We start from the raw sequence: 11,517 nt of genomic DNA, 5'->3' as shown, positions 1-11,517 counted from the left end.
CGTGTGCCACCATGCCCAGCTAATTTTTGTACTTTTCGTAGAGACGAGGTTTCATCGTGTTGGCCAGGCTGGTCTTGAACTCCTAGCCTCAAGTGATCCGCCCACGTTGGTCTCCCAAAGTGCCGGGATTACAGGAGTGAGCCACCATGCCTGGCCTATTTTTAGTTTGTAATTTTTATTTAGTACCACTGTATAATCTTTGCCTTTTTGCCACTTGTGTTCATTTTTAGCCTTATTGCTACCACCAGAACTTTTTTTTTTTTTGAGACAGAGTCTCGCTCTGTCAGCTAGGCTGGAGTGCAGTGGCCCCTGATCTCGGCTCACTGCAAACTCTGCCTCCCGGGTTCACGCCATTCTCCTGCCTCAGCCTCCCAAGTAGCCGGGACTACAGGCGCCCGCCACCACGCCCGGCTAATTTTTTATATTTTTTTTAGAAGAGACGGGGTTTCACCATGTTAGCCAGGATGGTCTCGATCTCCTGACCTCATGATCCACCTGCCTCGGCCTCCCAAAGTGCTGGGATTACAGGCGTGAGCCACCGTGCCCGGCACTACAGCCAGAACTTCTAAACAATATTTAAGATGGAGTTAATGGGCTTCTTTGTTCTTGGCTTTAATAAGAAATGATTTGCCCTTAAAGGTAATAAGTATATTGCTTAAATAATTTCTATTTCCATTTTTGGGGCCAGGTGTGGTGGCGCATGCTTGTAATCTCTGCACTTTGGGAGGCCAAAGCGGGTGGATCACCTGAGGTCAGGAGTTTGTGACCAGCCTAACACGGTGAAACCCCCTCTCTACTAAATACAAAAAAGTTAGCCAGGCATGGTGGCGCATGCCTGTTATCCGAGCTACTTGGGAGGCTGAGACAGAAGAATCGCTTGTACCTGGGAGGCGGAGGTTGCATCCAGCCTGGGAAACAAGCGAAGCTCTATCTCAAAAAAAAAAAGTTTCTATTTCTATTTTTTAGAATCTTTAAAGAGAATTATTTAGTTTTATAATTTACAACATCTATTAAGACAATCATTTTCTTTACTAACCCAAGTTTTTACTTGGTTGCACTTACAGCTTTCTTGTTAGAAACCTTCCTTTCCTGAAGCAAAAGTAGTTCTATTTGGGATAGGATATGGTTTTAACTACTCGGAATCCCACTTCCTTTCTCATTTCTAATATTAAAGTGTATTTCCTCTTCCTGTCATTAATTCGTCCTGGTTTTATCAATGTTTCTGATTTACTTTTTCCAAGAAGCAACCCCCCATTTGCTTTAGTTTTGTTTTCTCTATTTTTGTTTTTATTCATTATATCTCATTCGCTTTCTTTAGCATTGTTTTTTGTGAGGTTTTTGTTTTTTTTTTTTTTTTTTTTTTTTTTTTTTTGGTAGAGACAGGGTTCTGCTATGTTGCCCAGGCTGGTCTCGAACTCCTGGGCTTAAACAGTCCTCCTGCCCTGGCCTCCCAAAGTGTTGGGATTGCAAGTGTGTGCCACTATGCCTAACCTATTTTTTAATTTTCTTTAACAAAGGATTCAAACCAGCTGGGCGTGGTGGCTCATGTCTGTAATCCCAGCACTTTGGGAGGCAGAGGTGGGTGGATCATATGTGGTCAAGAGTTCGAGCCTGGCCAAGATGGTGAAAACCCGTCTCTACTAAAAATACAAAAATTAGCCAGGCGTAGTGGCGGGCACCTGTAATCCCAGCTACTGGGGAGGCTGAGGCAGGAGAATCACTTGAACCTGGGAGGTGGAGGTTGCAGTGAGCTGAGATTGCACCATTGCACTCCATCCAGTCTGGGAAACGAGTGAAACTGCGTCTCAAAAAAAAAAAATTAAGACGTGGTGGTGCACACCTGTAGTCTGACCAGCTACTTGAGAGGATGGGGCGGGAGGGCTTGAGTCCAGGAGGTCTGCAGTGAGTTATGATTGTACCACTAGGTGACAAGAGATGCTGCCTCAAAAACAAACAAAAAACCCAAAACTTGGAAACCAAACTGAAAGTCAAATTATTAAATATATACCTACTACAAACAGTATTCAGTTATCAAAAGTAGTGATTATAGGAGCTATTGCAGTACACAATTTTATTTGGCTATAATGCAAAATAAGAAAGGAACATACAAAGTTATATGTACTTTGCAATTGTAATTATTCATGATAACATCTATGGAAAAGAATGATAAATTCTAAATACAATTGAGTTTACTTAATCCCATAGTGATTTTTATTCTTTCAAATGCTGGTATGGTGGCTCACAACTGTAATCTCAACACTTTGGGAGGCCAAAGCAGGCGGATCACTTGAGGCCAGGAGTTCCAGACCAGCCTGGCCAACATGGTGAAACCCCGTCTCTACTAAAAATAGAAAAACTGGCTGGGCATGGTGGTGTGTGCCTGTAATCCCAGCTACTCGGGAGGCTGAGGCAGGAGAATCGCTTGAACCCAGGAGGTGGAAGGTGGAGGCTTAGCCGAGATCACCCTGCTGCGCTCCAACCTGGGCAATGGAGCGAGACTCTCTCAAAAAAATGTTATATAAGTGAGTTATTTTGTCTTTTAAAAGCATTCATCATATAAATAAAGTAAATTCCATTTCAGTGGTTAGCCCTTTTAGACTCTTTCCTTCCCGGTTATGAGATTGAAATTAGAACAATTATCAATGTGTGGCAAGACTGCCACTAAGACACAAGTCTTTCTTAGCTTTAGGGCAAGCATTGGCAAACTGTGGCTTTTAGGCTAAGTTTAAATTTTCAAAACATTGTTAGAGCCAGAGACCCATATACACCCAGCAAAGCCTAAAATATTTACTACCTGACACTTTATAGAAAAAAGTTTGCTGACCCCTGCTCTAGTTATAACTTAGACTCATTTGTATCTTCCCCTGTATTCATGTATGTGGGCTAATGGCTTAGAACTTTGGATGTGAATGGGATGGGGTTATTCCTTGATCCTATCCAGGGATTGATAGAATCCAAAACAGTAGAAAGAGGCACAATGTCAGAAATGACAGAAAAGCTGTCTGAGGGATGTGTGCATGGGTGTGTATAAACATACACATCGAAACCTTAGTACCATTTTTCCATGTTTTTTGATGGGTGGGATTGTGTGCTTTGCAAACAGGGAAGGGAATGTGTTATCTGTTGCTGCATAACAGGTTACCACAAAACTAACAGCTTAAACATTAACTCACATAGTCTCTGAGTGTCAGGAATCCTGGAACAGTTTAGTGTCAGATCCTACAGGTTAGGGTCTCGGTCCTCCAGACTTCCCCCCATACCCCCAGACACCACTCCCAAGTCTGGGTATACTGAACTTCTGACTGACTGACTTCAAGTTGGGGTTCTCACAACCCCCTCTTTGGATTTCATTAATTTGCCACAATAGCTCACAGAACTTGAGGAAACACGTTTACAGGTTTATTATAAAGGATATTACAAAAGATACAGATGAAGAGACACACAGGGCAAGGTGTGTGGAAAGAGGTATGGAGCTTCCATGGCTTCCCTGAGTGCGCCAACCTCCAAGAACCTCCAAGTGTTGTTCAGCTAACTGGAAGCTCCCTGAACCCAGTCTTCTTGGGTTTTTATGGAAGCTTCATGACTTAAGCATTCTCTCCCGCTAGAGTATAGGGCAGGATTCTCTCTTGGGAGGGTCTTAGAACCCACAATCAGAAAGATTAGAGTCCTGCCTTGGGGCAGGTAAAAGGATGGCAGAAGGTCAGAAGCCTACCTCTGAGGCCTAACACCGAACATTATAACAAAAGACTGTAACAAGGGCTGTGGGAGTTATGAACTGTGGACAAAACCAATGTATATTATAACACCACAAGAGCATAGCATACACAGCATAGAGATGCTGGTCAATGGGATGATTTATGTCCTGAATGGAACTCAGAGCCACTGCACTAGATTTCATCACACTAACCAGAATGGCATGCAATTTAAAACCTAAGAATTGTTGGCTGAGTGTGGTGGCTCACGCCTCTAATCCCAGCACTTTGGGAGGCTGAGGCAGATAGATCATTTGAGGTCAGGAGTTTGAGAACAGCCTGGCCAACATAGTGAAACCCCATCTCTACTTAAATACAAAAGTTAGTTGGGTGTGGTGGTGGGCACTTGTAATCCCAGCTACTCAATACACTGAGGTAGGAGGATTGCTTGAGGCCGAGGAGCAGAGGTTGCAGTGAACCGAGATCACGCCACTGCACTCCAGCCTGAAGGACAGAGCAAGACCCTGTCATTAAATAAATAAATAAATAAACTAAAACCTATGAATTGTTTATTTCTGGAATTTTCCGTTTAATATTTTTGGACCACAATTGACTGTGGGTAACTGAAACCATGGAAAGTAAAACCACAGATAAAGGGGACTACTGTACTCTGAAGCATCATTTTTGATCTTTCAGAGCCTTAAAGGATTTTACCCTCTGACTGGGTGCAGTGGCTCACACTTGTAATCCAAGGCTGGTGGATCACCTGAGGTCAGGAGTTCAAGACCAGCCTGGCCAACATGGTGAAACTCCGTCTCTACTAAAAAAAAAAAAAAAAAAAAAAAAAAAAAATTTGCTGGGCATGGTGGCCTGCACCTGTAACTCCAGCTACTCGGGAGGCCGAGGCAGGAGAATCACTTGAACCTGGGAGGCAGAGGTTGCCGTGAGCTGAGATCAAGCCGTTACACTCCAGCCTGGGTGAAACTCTGTCTCAAAGAAAAAGTAAAAAGGATTTTTACCCTCATCTTTCATATTTCTGCACCTTTCTTTAGTGCCCTGGATATAACCTTTGCTTGGGAGCAGTTAATTTTAGCATCTTTTGCCATCTGGAAAGACTGGGAATTTTCAAAACCAGCAGGTACTGGCTCTTGGCTCTTTTTTGTTTAACACTTCTTCCCTTAGCTTGTTTCTGTCCCCTCAGATTTTACTATAAGTAGCAAGAAGAAACCAATCAGCACTTTCAGCATTCTGGCTGGAAATCTCAATTAGATGACTCAGGTACATTTTCTACTTTCACCTGACTAGGTGATAGTCACTAAACTTTCTGCCACTACGTAACTACGTAACCCCTTGCTCAATTTTCTAATAACATGTTCCTCACTTCATTTTAAGCTACACCAGAGCCTTCTCAGAGTCCAGTTTTCTACTAAGGCTTGCACTGACAATCTCCTTGAAGATTTTTTAGCTTCTGCCCACTGCCCAGTTTCAAAGCCACTCCTACATTTTAGGTATTACACCAGCACCTCCCTTCCAGGTACTAAAATCTGTATTAGTTACCTATTGCTGTATAATATATTACTGCAAACTTATCAACTAAAACCACCACTATTTGTTATCTCATGGTTTCCGAGGGTCAGGAATTTGGGGTCACTTAACTGAGTGGTGCTGTCTCAGCTTCTTTCATGAGGTTGCAGTTAAGATGTTGACTGGGGCCATATCATGTGAAAGGCTTGACTAGGGCTTTCAAACTCACTTGGGTATTGGCAGGAGGCCTCCCTCTGTTCCTTGTCATATGGTCCTCATGACATGTCAGCTGGCTTCCTACAGAATGAGTGATCCAAAAGAGAACAAGGAAGGCATTGCAATGTTTTTTATAATAGCCTTGGAGGTAAAATAACTTCACTCTGTTGTATACTCTTGGTCACCCAGAGCAACCCTGATGCTATGTGGGAATGGACCATATACAGATAGGAATACCAGAGGGTGGGGAATCACTGGAGGCCATCTTGGAAGTTACCACAGGGAAAATGGAACATTAGAAGTTTTTATGATACAAGGAAGGCAGCTAAAACTGAGTTAATGGTCATTGTGTTGCCTTCCCACTCTCTGGTGTGCCATTGTGGCTGACACCATTTTGAGAGGATTCTTTTTAAAGTTCATTTATTTTAAAATGTTGAGTATATAATATATTCACATTCTTCAAACATCGAAAAAGTAACAACTCAGATTCTTTTTTTAGCCTTTCAGATAGTTTCTTATTTTTTCTTTTCTTTTTTTTAAATAACTGATTTATATTATGCACAGTCTTCTGCACCTTGCTTTTTTTATTTGACGGTGTAACATGTTCACATTTTATGGCATATAAACAGGAAAATTATAGCCTGAGATTATGAAAGGGCTAATTAAAAATATTTCTGAAGTGTTTCCAAAGATTACTAAGAAAAATCGGGGGCCGGGTGTGTTGGCTCACGCCTGTAATTCCAACACTTTGGGAGGCCAAGGTGGGCAGATCACAAGGTCAGGAGTTCGAGACCAGCCTGGCCAATGTGGTGAAACCCCATCTCTACTAAAAATACAAAAATTAGCTGGGCATGATGGTGGTGGGCACCTGTAATCCCAGCTACTTGGGAGGCTGAGGCAGGAGAATTATTTGAACCCAGCAGGTGGAGGTTGCAGTGAGCTGAGATCGCACCATTGCACTCCAGCCTGGGTGACAGGGCCAGACTCCATCTCAAAAAAAAAAAGATTACTAAGACAAATCTCTAATGCACTATTATAAAATTGTTGTAAAGAAAAAAATCCCTGTCCATTTCACAAAGAATAAATATAGCTGATTGGTAAATAAATGCAAAATATTTAGTCTCCATAGCAAAAACAAAAATGGGAATTAAAGCAATGGTAGCGTACTGATGAATATTATATAAATTGTAATGTTTACTGTCAGTGAGGATGTATTAAAAGGAGTTTCAATTGGCATAAGCCTTTTTGGAAGTTATTTCAATATATGAATAAAAAGGTAATAATTTCATTTTTTTCATAGGATGCTTTTTTTTTTTTTTTTGAGACAAAGTCTCACTCTGCTGCCCAGGCTGGAGTTCAATGGCGCAATCTCGGCTCACTGCAACCTCTGCCTCCAGGGGTCAAGCAGTTCTCCTGCCTCAGCCTCCCAAGTAGCTGGGACTACAGGCACCTGCCACCATGCCCGGCTAATTTTTTGTATTTTTAGTAGAGACAGGGTTTCACCATGTAGGCCGGGCTGGTCTCAAACTCCTGACTTCAGGTGATCCACCTGCCTTGGCCTCCCAAAATGCTGGGATTACAGGCGTGAGCCACTGCTGGCCTCATGGGATGCTTTTAACATATCCAATAAAAATTTACAGAATGAATGTTTATGTATATATCCAAAATTGAGTATGTAAGATAATTCATCAATACTTTGGTTGTACTAATGTAAATGTAAAGTAGAAATAATTTTTTTTTTTTTTTTTAGTTAGAGACAGGGTATCTCCATGTTGGTCAGGCTAGTCTCAAACTCCTGATCTCAGGTGATGTGCCCACCTCGGCCTCCCAAAGTGCTGGGATTACAGGCATGAGCCACCAGGCCTGGCCAGAAATAATTTTAAATGCCTGGAAACTGAACAGTTTTGTACTTTTCATTTAATAGCTGCACAATCTACTTTTTTTGTTGTTTTTCGTTATTGTTGTTTTGGTTTGGTTTTTTTTTGAGGCGGAGCCTCACTCACTCTGTCGCCCAGGCTGGAGTGCAGTGGCACTATTTCGGCTCACGGCAACCTCCGCCTCCTGCGGTCAAGAGATTCTCCTGCCTCAGCCTCCTGAGGAGCTGGGATTACAGCCGCGGGCCCCCACGCCCGGCTAATTATTTTTTTGTAATTTTAGTAGAGATGGGGTTTCACCACATTGCCCAGGCTGGTCTCAAACTCATTGGCCCCAAGTGGTCAGCCGCCTCTGCCTCCCAAAGTGCTGGGATTACAGGCATGAACCACCGTGCCTGGCTGAAATAGCTGCACTATATACTTTTTTTAAAAGAGATAGATTGCAGTAATGTGAAAGAAAACTAGCAGGAAAAAAATTTGTATACATTGTGATCTGAACTATGGAGAAAATATGTGAAAGAACAGCCAGGCGCGGCGGTTCACACCTGTAATCCCAGCACTTTGGGAGGCCGAGGCGGGGCAAATCACTTGAGCTCAGGAGTTCCAGACCAGCCTGGCCAACGTGGAGAAACACCGTCTCTACTAAAAATACAAAAATTAGCCGGCGTGGTGGCAGATGCCCGTACTCCCAGCTGCTCGGGAGGCTGAGGCAGGAGAATTGCTTGACCCCCCCAGGAGGCAGAGATTGCAGTGAGCCAAGATTGCACCACTGCACTCCAGCCTGGGTGACAGAGTGAGACTCTGTCTCAAAAAAAAAAAAAAAAAAAAAAAAGAAGAAGTAGGAGAAGAGACTAAAATTGTAACATCTAACTTCTGAACTATTTGGTCTTTACGGCGTAGTTAAATATGCTCCTTGAAACAAATACTTCTAGGTCGGGCATGGTGGCTCACGCCTGTAATTCCGGAATTTTAGGAGGCTGAGGAGGAAGGATAGCTTGAGCCCAGAAGTTCAAGACCAGCCTGGGCAACACAGGGGGATCCAGGCTGTACAGAAAATAAATAAATTAGCCAAGTGTGGTGGTACACACCTATGTTCCCAGCCACTTGGGAGATTGAGGTAGGGGAGGATAGCTTGAACCTGGGAGGTCAAGCCTGCAATAAGCAGTGATTGTGCCACTGCACTCCAGCCTGAATGACAGAGCAGGACCACATCATTAAAAAAAAAAAAAAAAAAAAAAAAAGCCAGATTTTATGTAGTAAACTTGCATTGTTTTGAAAAATTTTTTAGGCCAGGCGCGTTGGCTCATGCCTGTAATCCCAGCACTTTGGGAGGCCGAGGCGGGCGGATCACGAGGTCAGGAGTTTGAGACCAGCCTGACCAACATGGTGAAACCCTGTCTCTACTAAAAATACAAAAATTAGCCGGGCGTTGTGGCGGCTGCCTGTAATCCCAGCTACTAGGAGGTTGTAATCCCTAGGAGGTTGAGGCAGGAGAATCACTTGAACCCAGGAGGTGGAGGTTGCAGTGAGCCAAGATCGTGCCATTGCACTCCAGCCTAGGTGACAGAGCAAGACTCCATCTCAAAAAAAAAAAAAAAAAGAAAAATTTTTTATATAAAATAAGGAGCTTGTTTTCTTTGCTATTATCAGTCAGAATTACATCATAGAGAGATTTTTTTTTTGAAAAAATATTTGACCATAAACTCTTCATCTAGTATACCTCTTATTGTTCCCTATGGATTGGAAAAATATTTGCATTCTATTTTTCCTAGACCCACTTTCTCCCAAAAGAAGGCAGAAGAATCATTCTAAAGGCTGATCTGAAATCTCTGTGAACCTGGGCAGTGACTGAGTGAGGAGGAGGAGAGGAGTCTAGACCACGGTGCTGAAGTTCCAAGGGCCCACTGGCCTCACAGCTAGTGTTGGACTCTCTAATGGCTCTTTTATGCCCTCCTCACCTCTTGCATAAAGGTTAGGTATTTGTGGGACACATTATGCAAATCTGAGCCTTTTATCTCTCCCTCCTCCTCCTATTCTGGTCTTTGTCCCAGGGAGCAACTCCCTGTCATGGGGAGGCCTAGGTGGCTGTGAGATCTGGCTTTGCCCTGTGGGAGGGAACAGCTGCTGTAACCTCTTGCAGGGCCTATGAGCAAGTGTCCAGGGTACCTAAAATATGAACAACCTGAACGTCAGGCTTCAGAGAGGATCCACGGCACCTTGCTGTGGTTTCCTGGGGTGGAGGATTGTAGTACCCCTCTCATTCATTTAACTTTTTTTGACATTTCTACTGTATTTCCTAGGCAAGCCCACATTCATTGTTTGTCTCTTTGTTCAGTCCTTTTTGTAGTTATTGTTGAAAATCCACTGCATTGTCTGTATTTCATTTCAGTGTTATCCGTCTTGTTTATCTGAGTGTTTTGAATGACTAAAGAAGTTATATTCATGACCATCTGATTTGAAGTTATTTACTTTGAACCTCATGCTGAATAAACTGCTTGCTTAAGATGAGAATTATTTAAATAATTTACTTTAGAGTATCTTATTTTATTTTAGTTTTTTAGACGGAGTCTCCCTCTGTTGCCCAGGTTGGAGTGCAGTGGTGCAATCTCAGCTCACTGCAACCTCTGCCTCCTGGGTTCAGTGATTCTCCAGCCTCAGCCTTCTGAGTAGCTGGGATTACAGGCGCCCGCCGCCACCCCGACTAATGTTTTTTTTTTCTTTTTTTTTTGAGATGGAGTCTCGCCCTGTTTCCCAGGCTGGAGTGCAATGGTGTGATCTCAGCTCACTGCAACCTCTACCTCCCGGGTTCAAGCGATTCTCCTGCCTCGGCCTCCTGAGTAGCTGGGATTACAGGCATTCGCCACCACGCCCAACTAATTTTTTGTATCTTTAGTAGAGATGGGGTTTCACCATGTTGGTCAGGGTGGTCTGTAACTCCTGACTTTGTGATCCACCCACTTCGGCCTCCCAAAGTGCTGGGATTACAGGTGTGAGCCACTGCACCCAGCCTAGACTACTTTAAATAGAAAATACAGACACATAACCAAAGACTGACTATGCTAGTCCAGCACAGACATTAGGCTCTGAGAGACCAAGACAGGGAAGGGAAATCTGGAGCATTTCAAAATGGAGAGGCACAAACTATCTCTGTTCTGACTTAAGACAACAGCAGCCCCTCCTAAAGGTGCTCATCGACAGGAGCCATCAGAGCTTTTGATGAGGTTTCCTGTAGGCTCTGCACCTCAGGAGCTTTTGCTCTGTGCGTATGTGTGTAAGGTCCTAGTTTGTGGATTACTCTATTATCTATTATTTTAATAAAAGACATCTAGAGTGTACTACTGTCGGTAGATCAGTTGGCCACGTCAGGGTTCATCTACAGGGTGAAAAGGGTACCCTAGAAAGGATGTATCCGCCTTTATGCACTTTGGGGGGATTTCAACTTAAGTACAAAGCAGGAAAAGCCTTACTTTGTGACTGGAAACATCTGTGAGGTGACTCCTATATTATTATAATTTATTACTATTATTTTCATTTAATTTGTAGCCATAGTTCTATGGTAAATAAAATCTGTACAAAATTTTGCATACTTGTGTTGAACCAGATATTTAAGTTTAGGAATTTTTACAAAGTAAATGACTTGCTGTATGAATAGATGTAGTTTGAAAGAAGTTCAACAACATGTAGTTTATAATAGAGAAAACATAGAATCCCTGTAATACTATGAATAAGTAATGATCTAAGGAGCTTTATATACTTGAAAACATGCAGAGATGTTGATTATGTATTACTAAATGGGAAAACGCCTCGTAAGATAAATTGCATTCTGACCCTTCTTTCCTTGCCTCCTCCCTTAACCCCTTTCCCTGTCCCACCTCAACTAACATCTGACAGAGCAAATGCAGAAATCCAGAAGGGTATTTGTTGTCAAAATATATATAATGGTTATCTCTAAGTAGTGAGATATGGATAATTTTTGTTTTAAACTTTTTTTTTTACATTAGCTATTACTTTTGTTCTACACACTCTTCCTTTTTACATTATTTAACCTCAAAAGAAAGTTTGGGAGAGGGGCCAGGTGAGGCGGCTCATGCCTGCAATCTCAGCACTTTGGGAGGCCAAGGCAGGAGGATCATTTGAGGCCAGGAGTTCAGGACCAGCCTGGGTAACATAGCGAGACCCTATCTATACGAAACATAAAAAAAAAAAATAGC

At 42.7% G+C, this 11,517-nt stretch overlaps 1 gene; it reads right to left on the bottom strand.

Moving 5' to 3' along the window:
- The window catches only part of IGL (immunoglobulin lambda locus), an 896,838-nt gene that overhangs the window by 438,664 nt on the left and 446,657 nt on the right, over positions 1-11,517 (bottom strand).

The sequence above is a fragment of the Homo sapiens genome, chromosome 22 (assembly GCF_000001405.40).
Source record: "Homo sapiens chromosome 22, GRCh38.p14 Primary Assembly".
NCBI classification, from domain to species: domain Eukaryota; kingdom Metazoa; phylum Chordata; class Mammalia; order Primates; family Hominidae; genus Homo; species Homo sapiens.
The sequence above is the reverse complement of the archived record's forward strand: the minus strand, read 5'-3'. Positions and strand labels throughout refer to the sequence as shown.